The following is a 16,176-nucleotide window of genomic DNA, read 5'->3' as shown; positions in this document are numbered from 1 at the left end:
TCAGTTCTGAAAATGAATGAAGTTCCCTTGGCTTCATGTTGTAGATGCCTAGCAAGTAATTCCATACAGATATGGAACACTCCAGAGAGAACTAGACTAACTTATAGGGTCATTCACATATAAGTGATGGTGTAGTACACAGTTATAAAATAGACCACTGTTTTTAATGCTCAAATTCTGTTCCACTAACCTGCCCTTTATCCTTCTAATTTCTTTTAATTTCCTTTTTTGTGGCTTTGGATTATCCTCTTTACCTAAAGATCGATATTCATCTATTGTATATCATTGTATTCTCCAACTAAATAATCTTTTGGTGACAACTGGTCTCTTTATGGCCAGCCCCCAACAGAAATGCTTTTCAAATGAAATTATATACAAGGTGAATTTTCTGCACCCTATCCTTGTCATCAGTAACACAAAACACACGATACCCTTAAGGAATAAAATGAGTCTCATTAATTTTTAAGGTTTTTAAATCTTAACTCTTCTGTTGTTTTGTAAGACTAGCCAAAGAAATTTTCTTTAGAATTTAGAAAGTGAAAATGTAAAATAAAAAATGTTTTCTTACCATTGAGTTTATTTTTTAATTGACATATAAAATTATATATAATTGTACGGATAAAATATAATTATATATATAATCTACACCATAATGTTTTGAAACGCATATCCGTTGTGGACTGACTATATCAAGCTAATCAATATATGCATTACCTTGCATAATTTTCATTTTTGTGGTGAGAAAACATAAGATCTTCTCTCAGAAATTTTTGCATCCTCAATATATCTAATTAAGGTAAAAATTAATGCTTCCTGCAATCATTTCTGATATACTTCTTTTTGGGAATAGTAGAGAACAATTAAATTAATCACTTCTTTTACTGCTTTAAGAACACATTCACTGTTATTCACCATTTCATTCAATGACAATTTATATTACATGTTAATTTTATAAGCAATGATAATTTTATTCCAACTAAACCAGTCAGACCTCCCTCCTATTTAAGCCCACCTTTATACGTAGGACTCATCATTTTAAAATCGATGAAAATTATACTGAGGCAATTAAAATAGCAATAAAATATTTAGCACTTCTGAAAGTAATTCACAAATATTTATTCATTTTTATCATGAACTTTAAAGTAACACTAGAGGTAACTTTGAGAGTTTAATGATTCCTTTGCCAATTCATATACTTGGTAATTGTAAGACCTTGAACTCAAACAGACTCAAGTTCTATATTCTGTTCATTTCATTCATCATGCAGCCTCTTAGTAGAGACAACTTGTCTATTGAAAATTCTGCCTGAGGATTATTAACTGGAAATACCATTTGGCTCCTCTGATAATATTTAATCACAAATTTAAATTCATGACTTATCTTTACTGTGTTGATATTCTTAAAACTTTTGATGAATGTGTCTAACTTCATTGCATTGATATAATTTGACATGAAGTACATATTGGAGTTTTAAAATCACCAAAGTGTAGCAGTATTTCAGTAAGAAATTGAGAAAAGTTTCAGAGAAACTGCCATTGATGTGCAATACTAAGTAATGTTGGGTGCCAAAAAAAAAAAAAAAATCCTGAATTGGCCTCAGGAAAGGACAGTTTATCTAAAAATCTGTTCTTATTTTAGAAAAACATGGAAGTGCTCAGGAGAGTTTCATTTTCCACTGCCTAATTTTTGCCCTTTCATTTAAAATCTATTAATTTTAAATATAATGTCTAAAGCTTGATTGAGTCACGAAAAATTAAAAGTCTTCTGCAAAAATAAAGCCTGGTAAACTTGGTTTTTCAAATTGCAGATATATAACCGTAGTGTCCTGAACTAAGGATTATGCCTCATATATTTCTATCTCAACCACAGTAGCACTACAGCAACTGGAAATTACTACATATTAACAAATGGTCAATGAAATAATGTTATACTACTTCCAGGTTTTTGGAGCAACTACTTTCCCATTCTACCTCCTACATACACATTCACACCCAAACACAATAGACAATAGTACCTAGTCTCATGAATGAAAGCCAATGCATTGCACAGACACATCCAAAAGCTCATGTCCAGTCCAGCTAGATGGAAATCTTCCATTCAGAGATTAGAATGCCATGATGGAGAAATACAGAGAAAACAGGGAACACCTATAAATAAGGGCAGCCACCAATCTCATGCTAATGTAGCAAAATATGCTTGATCAAGACTAAGAAAAAAACCCATAATGCACTTGGGCTGTTTTAGTGTTATGGAATGACCACATGCGATTTTCAAAAAAAGCATCACTTTCAAGAAAAACAGTCAAGGAGGAGTTAGAGCAAGATGGCTAAATAGAAACCTTCAGTGATCAGCCCCTCCCACCACTCACCCCCAACAGAAACACCGATTAAACAACTATTCACACAAGAAATCACCTTCATAAGAACGAAAAATCAGGTAAACGATAACTACCTGGTTTTCACATCATATAAGCGAAGAGGCACTGAAGAGGGTAGAAAAGACAGTCCTGAATTGCCTCCATCACCACTCTCCCTTCCCTCTGCAGTGGCCTCATGGCTGAAAGAGAGAATCTGTGTGCTTTGGGGGGTGACAGTGCAGTGATTGTGAGGCGTTGCATTGGAACCTAATGTTGCCGGCACAGTGAAAAACAAATATGGGGCAGAATTCAAATGGCGCCCATGGAGGGAGCATTTAGACAAGCTCTAGCCAGAGGGGACTCAGCTATCCCAGCAGTCAGAAAGTAAATTCTGGCTAGTCCCACCACTGCAGGCTAAAGTGCCCTGCAGTCCCAAATAAACTTGAAAGGCAGCATAGGCCACAAAGACTGAAATTGCTGGGCAAGACCTGTTGCTGTGCTGGGCTCAGGCCAGTGAGCTTGGGGTGCACATGATCCAGTAAAATTCCAGCTGCGGTGGCTAAGGGAGTGCCTGCATCAACCTTTCCCCAACTTCAGGCAACATAGCTTGCAGCTTCAGCAGAGACTTTTTTTTCTTGAGTAAAGGAGAGAAGATAGTAAAGAGAACTTTGTCTTGCAATTTGGACACCAGTTCAGCCATAGGAAAATAAACCACCAAGTAGAGTCCTGAAGCCACATTCCAGGCACTAGACACATAGAGCAATGGAACAGAATAGAGAACCCAGAAACAAATCCATACTTCTACAAGGAACTCATTTTCAATGAAGTTGACAAGAGCATACATTGGGGACGAAAAGCTATCCATATGTGGAAGAAGAAAACTAGATCCCTATCCTTGCTATGTACAAAAATCAAATAAAAATAGACTAGTGACTTAAATCTAAGACCTCAAGTTATGAAACTACTAAAAGAAAACATAAGGGAAATTCTCTAAGACATTAGTCTGGGTAATGATTTATTAAGTAATATCCCACAAGCACAGGCAACCAAAACAAAAATTGGCAAATGGAATCACATCAAGTTAAAAAGCTACACAGCAAAGGAAACAACGAAGTAAAAAGACAATCAAAGAATGAGAGAAAATATTTGCAGACTCTCCATCTGATAAGGTCTTTATGCCCAGATTATATAAGGAGCTCAAACAACTCTATAGAATAAAATCTAATAATCCAATTTAAAAAATGGGCAAAATACCTAAAGAGACATTTCTCAAAAGACAAAGAAATGGCAAACAGATGTAGGAAAACGTGCTCAACATCACTGATCATCAGAGAAATGCAAATCAAAACTATAATGACATATTGTCTTACTCCAGTTAAAATAGCTTTTATCCAAAGGACAGGCAATAATAAATGCTGGTGAGGATGTGAAGAAAAGAGGACCCTCGTACACTTTTGATAAGAATGTAAATTAGTACAGCCACTAGGGAGAACAGTATAGAGGCTCCTCTGAAAATGGAAAATCAAACTACCGTAGGATCCTGTAATCCCACTGTTAGGTATAAAACCAAAAGTAAGAAAATTAGTATATCAAGGAGGTATCTGCACTCCCATGTTTATTGCAGCACTATTCACCATAGCCAAAATTTAGAAGCAACTTAGGTGTCCTTCAACAGATGAACAAATAAAGAAAATGTGGTACCCAATGAAGTACTATTCAGCCATAAAAAAAGAATGAGATCCTGTGACTTGCAACACCATGGATTGAACTGGAGGGCATTGTGTTAAATGAAATATGCCAGGCACAGAAAGACAAACTTCATATGTTCTCACTCATTTCTGTGAACTAAAAATTAAAACAACTGAACTCATGAATATAGAGAGTAAAATGATGGTTTACCAGAGACTGGGAAAGATAGCGGTGTGTGTGGGGGAAATGCAGATGGCAAATGTGTACAAAATTATAGTTAGATAGAATGAATAAGATTTAGTATTTGATAGCACAACAGGGTGACTACAGTCAAATATTATTGTGCATTTAAAAATAACTAAAAGAATATAATTGGAATGTGTGTAACACAAAGAAATTATAAATGTTTGAGGTGATGGATAACCCATTTACACAGAGGTGATTCTTACACATTGTATACCTGTATCACAATATCTCATTCACCGCATAAATATATACACGTACTATGTACTCATACAGACTAAAAATTAAAAAAGAAAGACAGTCACTGTTAATAAGGGATAAATTCTCATAATTTTTTACTCAAGAAAGAAAGAAGATGAATGGCTAAAAGTTGATGTTATGGGCAGAAGAGGAAAATGAAAGCGAGAAAGTGAGAATGACATACAATAGAAATGTTCAGACCTGAATGATTGTCTTCGTCTCTCTAGATAGTGCTTTCTTCAACTGCAGTACACTTTTCAGAACTATTCCTGATCAATTTACCTGTGAACTATGATTTTGCTAAAGTTAGACATTATTTTGGCATACTATTAGGATAAGATACTTCAGAACATAGAAAGACCTATTATGATAGAATAATATTCATCGTAAGAATTTGATATGAAAACCTGTGTGCTAAGAAATTTAACCTTGCCCCAAAAGAATTTGGATTTTGCTCTTGGCTCCTGGAAGATAATCTTTGTTTGCCTGAGGGTCTTGGAGTAGCCAGACAGTAACTGTGATATAGAACTGGAGTTGACCATACTTTAGGGTAAGGAATAGAAATGCCAGAAATACCAAAAATATGATTAGGGTGCGGGCTTTGAATAATAAACTATCAACTGATCTAAAGACTGAGATCAACCATATGTACATCAGTCAGTCAACCAATCAATCAATAATGCCTATATAATGAAGTCACAATAAAAACTATAAACTCAACATTCAAGTGAGTGTCCTTGGTTGATAATACTCTGTGAGTTTTGTCACACATACTTAACCAGCATGCTAGCAGGGAGAGAACCTCAGAAGTTCAGTGCCTAGCATGTCTCTTGGACTCTGCCCCGTGTGTCTCTTCCATTGACTGGTTTTATTTCTGTATCATTTCCCTGCAATAAGCTATATCTATGAAATAACAGCTTTCAGTGAATTCTTTGAGTCTTTCTAGTAAATTTTCAGACCTAAGAGTAGTTTTGGAAATCCCTAGAATTTATACTTGGTGTCAGAATGAGCATGGTCTCATGCAGATTACTATGGTCCCTTTAAACCTGATGGTTGTTTAATTATCACAGTTGGTCTACAGTTTTTCAGGACCATAAAAGAAAGAGCTATCTTTGAGTTCATTTCTATTCGAATAAACAATTTCTTAGCACCTACTACCAGAAGTTATAAGACTATATGTCACAGGTAATATAAAGGAGAAAAAATACAAGTAGCAGCTCTCTAGGGTCTCAGTCTAGTGAAAGAGGCAGGCATACATTGCAATTTTAATGCAAGATATAACGTAGTGTGATGTGTTGAAACAGAAAAACAGAGAGAGAGAGAAAAAAAAAAAAGCAGAGCCTCACATCAGGGAGCTGGTTTGGCACTGACATCCAGACATCGGTGTTGCCAGAATCTGGCCTGGCGCTCTCAGCTGGGTCACATTTTCCTTATGTTGTACATGGATAGTGTAATTTCATAAAACAGCAACATCAAACAAGGCCACCCTGTGACGTGATAGAACGAAACAAAACAGACCATTCTGTAATCATTTTTGATAAATGCCAAAGCATTACCCTAAACTCCCTAATGATCAAACATTTCCTTTCATGGCTAATATGAGCAACCAAAGCTGGCTTTTTGTTGTTGTTGTAGTTGTTATTAATATAAACATGTTCATTTATTTCTTCTGGTTTTGAAGACACAGGATTCAAAATAGAAGCCACCTATGCAATTGTGTGGGTGTGTGTATACAGACACACACATACACACACATGCACATACATATTGTACTGCCATAATTTTGTTAAATGTTGGTTTTGTAAAAATAATTTCAACTTTTATTATAAATTCAAGGGTACATGCACAGGTTTTTTATGTAGGTATCTGTGTAATGCTGACATTTGGGGTATGAATCTTGTCACCCAAGTAGTGAGCACAGAACTGGGTACATAGTTTTTTAACCCAAGCTCTCCTCCTTTCTGTCCCCATCTAGTAGTCCACAGTGTTGCTTTCTCCCATCTTTATGTCCATGTGTACTCAATGTTTAGCTTTCACTTATAAGTGACACCATGTGGCATTTGGTTTTCTATTTCTGCTTTAATTAGCTTAGGATTATGGCCTCTAGCTGCATCCATATGGCTGCAAAATACATGATTTTATTCTTTTTCTGGCTGCATAGTATTCTGTGGTATATACATAACCACTTTTTCTATATCCAATCCACCACTGATGACCACTTGAGTCAATTCTGTCTTTGTTATTGTGAATATTACTATGATAAACATGCAAGTTCATGTGTCTTTTGGGTAGAGCAATTTATTTCCCTTTGGGTATGTACCCAGTAATAGAGTTGATGAGTCAAATGGTATCTGTTTTAAGTTCTTTTTGAAACCTCCAAACTGCTTTCCATAGTGGCTGAGCTAATTTACATTCCCAAGAAAAGCACATGTGTTTCATTTCCTCTGCAGCCTCTCCAGCATCTATTACATTTTGCCTTTTTAGTAATAGCCATTCTGACTGGTGTGAGATGATATCTCATTGTGGTTATGACTTGCATTTTGTTGACAGATTTGATACTATTCCTATCAAACTACAATGTCATTTTTCACATAATTAGAAAAAGACCATTCTAAAATTCATATAGAGCCAAAAAGGAGCCTGAAGAGCTAAAGCAATCCTAAGAAAAACAAACAAAGACAGAGGCATCAAACTACTTGACTTCAAACTATACTACAAGGATACAGTAACCAAAACTGCATAGTACTGGTATAAAAACAGACACATAGACCAATGAAACAGAGTAGAAAACCTGGAAATAAAGCTGTACACTTGCAACTATCTGGATTTTTGACAATACTAACAAAAGCAAGCAATAGGGGAAGGAGTTTCTATTCAATAAATATGCGGGGATAACAGGCTAGCCATATGCAGAGGAATCAAACTGGACCCCTACCTTTCAGCATATACAAAAATTAACTCAAGATGGATTAAAGATCTAAATTAAGTTCTGAAACTATAACATTCTTAGAGACAACATAGAAAATACCCTTCTCAACATTGGCCTTGGCAAGGAATACTTGGCTAAGTCCTCCAAAGCAAATTGCAACAAAAACAAAAATTGACAAGTATGACCTAATTAAATTAAGGAGCTTCTGCACAGCAATTATATATATGATATATATATATATGGATATATATATGGATATATATATGGATATATATATGGAGATATATATATATGGATATATATATGGATATATATATATGGATATATATATGGATATATATATATGGATATATATATGGATATATATATATGGATATATATATGGATATATATATATGGATATATATATATGGATATATATATATATGGATATATATATATATGGATATATATATATATGGATATATATATATGGATATATATATATATGGATATATATATATATGGATATATATATATGGATATATATATATATGGATATATATATATATGGAGAGAGAGAGAGAGAGAGACAACCTACAGAATGGGAGAAAATATTTGCAAACTGTGCATCCCACCAAGGTCAATATTCTGAATTTATAAGGAACTTAAAGAAATCAACAAGCAAAAACCAAAGAACTCCATTAAAAATAGGCAAAGGACATAACAGATTCTTCTCAAAAGAAGACATCCAAGTGACCAAAAAAAACAATAAAAAATTCACAAAATCACTAATCATTGTAAAAATACTGCTGCTTTATAAAACATGTATAGCTTTTGATCTGTCTTGTTCCTTTTGCCATTTACATAAGATTATTAAAGATGTGGAAGCACAAAAACCCTGGGCTCGTAGAGCATACTTAATTAAGAGCAAAACTCTCTTTTTGTTAAACTCTCTCAAAGACCATCTAAAGCTTTCCCCACACCTTTAGTAGGTATTTATTTCTTTTTTCTTTTTTCTGAGAAACCTCAAGTTTCCAATGGTGTATTCTCTCCCTCATTGCAACAAGTCAATAAACTCACCTTAGTTTGACTGTATCTGTGTTTCTGGAAATCTTTGACTAAGGGACATCAACAAAGCTGTGGTATGTGCATAAGTTTGAAGGAAGGAGATACTAAAGGAAACATGACCATCCCTTTTAATACTGCTACTGTGGCACTTGTGCTTCTTGTTACTGGATAAGGGGACTTCATAAAGTTCACATATTGGCTAGTGACTGAAAGAAGATTATAAATGTGTATGTGTGTTGTGTGTATGTGTGTGTGTGTGTGTGTGTGTTTTAATCACCCAAAGCAATGATATATCTATTACAACATTCTGTTTTTGTTTTTATTTTCCTTATAATTTAGATAATACAACTGAGAAATAAAATAAAATTTAAATTAACGTAACTTAAAATGCTGTGATGTTCATTAATTAAATATGTGATAAAAGTGAAATTGAAAAAACCCTAAGGCTTCATGATTACCAAGCGGTAATTAAAGACTATTGATGTTCTTCAATCAGAATATCAAATCTGAAAGGACATCTTACATGAGCTTTTGTATAGTCCTATTTAAAGACATGCAGTCACTTCATCCTACGGATCCAGACCATGCAATTTTATATTTCTCAAAATTAAAATTGTGTGTGTGTGTGTGTGTATATATATATATATATATATATATATATATATATGTAATGTATACACACATAACATATGAACATACGTATGTGTATATATCCACATAAGCATATATAGCTTTATATATATATATAAAATAACCCATATGTGTCTTTCTAATTTATTAAAAGAACATTATTTTTAATAATTTTGTAATTCTATTACTATGTACCCATTATCAAAATAAACCAAACAAAAAATATTTTAAAGGAGTATACTCATGTTTCTCAAATGTGGTTCTATTAATGTATATTGAATGAATACATTTAATTAAATATATATTAATTATACATTATATTTTGCAATAATTAATATATCTGAATTATACATTGTCTTTAATGTATAATTAAATGTATAATATTGCAGGAGAGTCAATAATCAAAGAAAGAAAGAAAATGCTAGGTCCTTGAACTCAGTATTTCTCAGAGCCTTCAGTTTACTCAGGTTTATTGTGAATATACGGCAGGAATGCAAGGCAATGTGCTTTCAAAAATTGTCTAACAATTCTTCCTGTACTCCGTCTCCCCACTCACTTCCTGTTATGGGATTTGGTGTGGTACTAACATTTTACAGGAAGTAATTGAAGCGCAATGACTACTTTTTTTCATTCATTTGTCTGTTTGTAAAGGTTTTTTTTGTCATCTACTAATAGTTGCTGAGTGTTTATTATGCTTGGCTCTGTGGTGGAGAACGGGAAGCAGCGCTAGTGGGCAAACAAAATTGAAGTGCACAATGTTTCTGACTTGTAGGATTTCACAATCTGATTGGGCTAAACACATGAACAAAATGATTATTCATAATGTTACATACTTTCTCAGAATACACAGTTGCTATGTGGGTGAAAAGGATCAAACTGACATTATTGTGAGGATGATTAAAAAATATTGACCTGGGTTTTGAAGAGAGAAAAAGAAGGGATATGAGAATAGCTTAAGGTGGAGAGAAATATCCGAGAATCATAGGAATGGGTGTCTTGTGTGTAGGGTAAAAAGGGAGACGGTGAAAAGGGAGGAAAAGTGGTTTGCAGAATTCAGTGAAGAATAGTTTGGATAATTTATTGCTGGTGATAAATGAAATTGAGCTTATTATACAAAAATATACAAACTTTAAAAACACGATAAATATAATTCCACTCCTTATAAAATCTGCAGTTATATAAATTGGTATAGTAGTTTTGCAATTATTTTGTAGGTTTGTCCTTAAAGTTTTCTTCTTTTGTTTGTTGGTTTTTGTTTCTAAGGAAGTGGTTATGATATTGAATTATCTGTTTCTCTCCAACAAATTTACCCTTGCCTATGACTGTGAAGCCTTTCAGTATGAGGAATCGTGAACTATTCAATTCTGCAGATATAGTGCCCGTTACAGCATTATAAGTAGTAATAAGTAAATATGTTCTGAAGGAAAGAATGTATACATTGCTACTGGAATTTAATCTTTCAAGAAGACTAATAATCAGGAAGATAAAATATTACAATGGTGCAACTCAATAACAGAAATAGCCATAATTGTGAATGCTAGTTTTATATAAGGTTGTGCATTTGAAAAAATTAATTTATATGTGTTTACTCCTCAAAACTTACTCATGATAATGGCATAATGATTATCCTCATTTGTTGATGAGGGAACTGTAGCACAAAATTGTTGAATAGCTCACTTGACTTGAAATTGATAGGACTTTCATCTGAAGACCCTTTGGTTTCAGCGTCTAGGCAATTCACTACTATGCATTCCATCATTGTTTGCATTAAGAGACACAGAGGAATTTAAATAGGAAGAAAGTGTGGATGTAAGAAAAGAACTAATGAGAGCAGCAGGCGGCAACCAAATGTCTAGGCAGATAGAGGCGGGTCCCCTCTGTAACCCCACCTTCGAGCCAAAGACAGTTTAAAGCCTGAAAGCAATGCTACAGGTTAAGTCCTTGGATGGGATTGAGAACCTGTCTTCCCGATCGGAGCACTTTCCTCTGATTGGTCCCCACCCTTCGCTTATTTAACATATAGCTACCCTTTCCGAATTGGTTTTTCTACACTGTCGTGCCCACCTTTGAGTGGTATCTTTTATCTTTGCGCTAATCTTTTTTGCATACTCACAAACCAATCAGCATGCACTCCCCATTCTGGGTCCATAAAAGGCCTTGGACCCAGCCACACAGGAGACTTTCCCACCTTTAGTTAGGGGAACCACCCTCTGCCTCCCCTCTCTGCTGAGAGCTGTTCCTTCACTCAATAAAATTCTTCTCCCCCCTCCTCACCCTTCAATGTCCAGCATATCCTCATTCTTCTTGGGCAGGGTGCAAAAGCTCAGGAACCACTGAACGTGGGTACAAGCTATCACACAGGCGAGCTGGGGCATGCAGCGTGGCAGAGCAAGGCCCGGGCGGGGCGTCATCGATCGAGGGTCCCTGGCTTGCAAAGTGACTGAGAAGAAAAATCCTACAACCCTAAGGAAACATAGAAAGCATAATATGAAAGTAGGGTTAATAGGATTTAAATCCAGTGAAATGACTTAAAAAGAAACACTTTGAAAAGGAGTACATGGTGTATGGTTTGAAATTTTTCATTTAAAAATATGTCTTTGTCACCCATCGCATACCGGGCACTTGGCTAGATGTTGAAGTCTACCTTTGAATCAGAAGGCCTCTGAGTAAGTGAGGTGGCTCAAAGAGTGAAATTATACCATGTAAATAGAAAAGGAAAAATACAGAGAAAAGGACAAGCTTACTATTGAATCCATTATAATTTTTTGACTCACAGCAGAAAACCTTTTCAGTTTTTTCTTCAGAAAAGCTTTGATTTTATTTACCTCCTAAGACTAATGCCGCTAGTAATTTCCAAGAATTAAACAATCCCACTGCATGATGCAATTTACATATAGTGTCTATTTAATTCACAGAACACCTTAGGATATAGGTTCTCAGGAAATAAACACGATTTAGACATTACAAAATTTTACTAAGACTATGCTTGTATAGAAAACAGTTAAGAACTGTCAGACTTAAAATCTCTGTTCTTAATTTATGATCCTTAGCTTAAAAATATATGATTCATTAAAATCTATCTTTCCATAAAAAATTAACGTTGATAATTTAGATGTCACCATTCAATTCAAGGTTTAGTTGATGATGGGCATCTGAAATCGGGTAGAATTATGATGGAAGAGATAAATATAACTCTCCTTTGCTGGCAATATTATGAAAAAAGTTCATTTCTTCACAGCATTCTCTTAGATCCTAAATAAATCTAACTATTTCATAGTAAAAAAAATACTTTTGAAGTCTAGGAGCATTTAATAAAATTTCAATGCCATTCCACTAATTTCAATGCCACATTATTTGGCCTATATTAATCAAAAATTTAAAGGAAAATGGATCAAATGCAGTTGAGAATTATTGTAAATCATAGAAAGTTATAATAAATGGCAAAGGCCTAATAGGTCACCTAACCCAACTGAATAGTGCAGACGGATGAGAAAGAAAAGTTACACAGGGAATTAATAACTCTTCATTGTCTTGACTCCCATTAGATTGAAAAATAAGCACTAGATAATGGCCTCACTTCATATTGCTGTGCCTAGGTGTCACTAGTAATGTGGCTAAGCTTTTCTTTGTTTTATTTTAAATTGTGAAGATGATAAAGCTCAAAGAACACAATACTAGAAATAAGAAATAGAATACTCTTTTCAGTCTTATTCCTGATACTAACTTTCTATGTATGATGAGTAAATTGGTTAGACCCTTGCCATAGGTAGTGTGTCTGGAAAAGCAAAGAGAAGAATGTTACATAGCAGCTTTTTGTTGGTAAATAATTGTCCTATTTATTCGTCCTCCTTCAAGGGAAGACTATTAAGGAGAATATTGCAATAAACAAGTCAATCAAGAGAAATAGGTAGTAGTGGTATTGATGGTGAGAAATGATCGGATTCTAGATGATGACCACAAGATATTTAGTTTGAACAAAGAGTAGGATGGACTTAGTATTTTCTGAGATGAGAAAACATGAAAAAAATGGCTTTGGAGTGAGGGAAGGAATCAAGAGTTTAGTTTCGAATACAGTTGCTTTGAAAGGTCTTTTATATATCTAAGTAGAAATGTTCAGTAAGCAGTAAGTATATGTGCCTAGAGTGATATAATTCCAAGATTATAGAAAAATCAAAATAATAATTGTGGCATTTATTTACTCACATTATAAAATACGACATAATTTAATTGACTCAAGTAGATTAAATAAGTGTAGTAAGTATAATAAAATTATGAAAATATAAAAATTATAAAGATATATGGCCAAAAAAATTTTGGATAAAAAAGTTCTTAGAGTGAATTTTTTTTCTAATTTCCATAACACTTTGATAATTTAAAAGCAAAAATTATGCCTTACCTAGAGCACTACAATTTTCCCCTAATCAAAATCTCCTTCCTATTTGTTTCTCCCCAGATCTAATCTATAATCAAGGTGGAAACAAAAGTGATAAAAGGAAGAAAAAATCTGATCATGCCTTCTCCAGACCAACAATTCACACATTACTCTCAGTCAAAACCTTCAACTTCTCTTATATCAAATCCAATACCTTTTAGGTACTCAAAACTCCTTAATCTGTTTCCTCCTTCTCACTACTTTCATTCAGCACACCTCCCTACCTCACACTGGTCAACTCTGGTTTTGTTGGCTTCTTCATTTGGTGCATCAAAAACCATCTCCCTTCTGAAGGACCTTGAACCCCAGGTTTTCTGTGGGCTTCTCCTGCATGATTCCTCTACACTCCTGCCAACTTTTAAGTCTTTCAAATGCCACTCCCTCTTAGTACTTTTTTCACTACTTACTAAGATATTGTTCACTCTTAAATTGCAAGCTCTGGTTTTACTTTGGACTCTTATTTTATAAATCTTATTAGAATTACAGCTAAATAATCACCTACATAATTATCTGCATAAATACTATTTGCCCTGTGAGATGGACAGGTCCATGAGGGCTGGATCTGTATCTAATTCACTAGTGTCCATGCAGCACTTAGTAGAGTGCTTTTAACATAATAGTGCCCAATAGTGTGAAATCCACACAAGAGACAAAAGGAGAAACCAACAACCATTCCCATGTAATGTCAATAATTGATTAAAGAGGAGGGATTAAAGAGATAAGACCCAGGTGTTGAGCTTCCAGATGTCTGTCTAAGGAAGACAATAGGGATATGGGTGGATGAGTCCATTGCATTTATTGAAATTGCCCTGAGAATGATAGTGATCCTTCCAGAGAATGAACAGTGACAACAATCACATTGTATTTGGATGTTTCTGCTGGTCCTAATTTGGTTTGAAGCTTTAGAAAGCATGTACATTTGATTTTACTAAAGCTGCTTCATAAGATGTATTTAGGGAGAAACAAGTGTATTAAAATAGTTTGGTGCAATGATTATAGGCTTCAGAGTCACGGTTTTGTTCCCATCAGTTTCATTAATTGGCAGATACTGAGGCAGTCATAATTAGATGATCTCAATTTCATCTTTTTTATGTGCAAAGTGAAGATAACCATTAACCAGATTTTTTATGTTCTTTCTTTTTCTTTTTACTTTAATTTAATTTTATGTTCTGGGATACGTGTGTAGGACATGCAGGTTTGCTACATAAGTAAACATGTGCTGTGGTGGTTTGTTGTACCTAGCAACCCATTACCAAGGTATTAAGCCCCGCATGCATTAGCTATTTATCCTGATGCATTCCCTCCCCAGATCATGTTCTTTCAAAATTAAAATCCCATAATTTGAATTGTTTCCATCTCTAGTCTAGTCAACCTTGAAAATCTAGAGTTTTGTATATTAATGCTGTTCTTTTTGGATTAAGTTTTAATTATATTCATTTCTAAATTTTTCGGATAAAAATCTGGATATAAATATCTAAATAAAAGAATATAAATCTGCTGATTTTTCTGTGTTAGTATAAAAGGTCCACAGCTATGACTTGATGGATAGAATGATTCATTAATTAAACTTACAAAGAATCCAAGAAGTTTTTGTTAAAATTGTGTTACAATCTATTAGTGTTAGAATCCATTCCATAGACTCATTAATATTGCTATTCATTTAAAATGGAAATTAATACAACTAAATTAGATTAAATTAATGACTCAAAGATAATTTAATTATTTTGAATTTTACAAAAATAAAAAGAAGAGGAAGATATAGATAAGCCATATGAAATTATGAGAACAATTAGGACGTTTCACAGCTTGTCAAAGCAAAAATTGCACTGAACAAAGTGGACAAAGTCGCGAGAAAGCTTCAGAGAGAGAATGCTAGAATGAACCACGTAATTCTCTATTTTAAAATGGAGACACTCATTCTCCCAGCTTCTGGGAATGTTGGTTACATAACAGCTGTCAGCTAAAGCCTTCTCTGGGAATTGTCTTCTACCCTAGATACCACCTCACCCAAGATCAAGGTCCTTTCCTGAGGGCATACTAAAAACACTGACTAGTTCATGGTGGTGGAAGGCAGGGGGTAGTACAAAGTAACAGCCACTTGCTTAAAATGGGACAGTTTTCAAGGTCAATCACAGCTCCAGGGTTCCTATGGGATCAGCTACAGTCTGTACTGCAAATGCCTCACAGTTCAACTTATATCTGATTAGTCCTACTTCTTTGCTCCTTAATAATAAACCTCCATTATAGCAATTTCAAAATAAGTCTGTTTCCCAGGAAACCGAACCTACGGTAGTTGGTTCCAGAATTTATCTGAGGAAACAGTGTCAAAAATAGTATTTTAGAGCTGATCTCTCTCTGGCATTGAGGATCCCTTAACTGCTGGTAGGAGAAGCATTGACAATCCCTGGTACATTGTAGCACCGCAATTGTTAGTTAAAACCAGTGATGAATGAGGACACACTGGCTAGAACAATATCTCAGGGATTTGAGAGATTAGGACTAAGTACTAATCATAAGGAGAATGGAATTTGATGGCAATTACTGAGTCCTATTAATGCATTTAAAAAAGACAAGACAAAACTGAAAGCATATTTAATAGTTAAAGGC

General features: G+C 34.4%; 1 long non-coding RNA gene across 2 annotated transcripts in view; it reads right to left on the bottom strand.

Moving 5' to 3' along the window:
* Positions 1 to 16,176, bottom strand: part of LOC105373436 (uncharacterized) — a 330,895-nt gene that overhangs the window by 35,253 nt on the left and 279,466 nt on the right. The window contains exons 3-5 of one of the 2 annotated variants that reach the window (XR_001739292.2): positions 11,412 to 11,600; positions 5,875 to 6,015; positions 4,464 to 4,817 (exon numbers count right to left, since the gene is read on the bottom strand). This is a non-coding gene — a long non-coding RNA (uncharacterized LOC105373436). Of the gene's footprint in view, positions 1 to 4,463; positions 4,818 to 5,874; positions 6,016 to 11,411; positions 11,601 to 16,176 lie in introns of those variants that run through there. The other variant, XR_001739293.2, reaches the window with a different exon arrangement.

This window comes from Homo sapiens, chromosome 2 (assembly GCF_000001405.40).
Source record: "Homo sapiens chromosome 2, GRCh38.p14 Primary Assembly".
NCBI lineage: Eukaryota > Metazoa > Chordata > Mammalia > Primates > Hominidae > Homo > Homo sapiens.
Note: the sequence above shows the minus strand (reverse complement) of the source record. Positions and strands in the feature narration are given on the sequence as shown.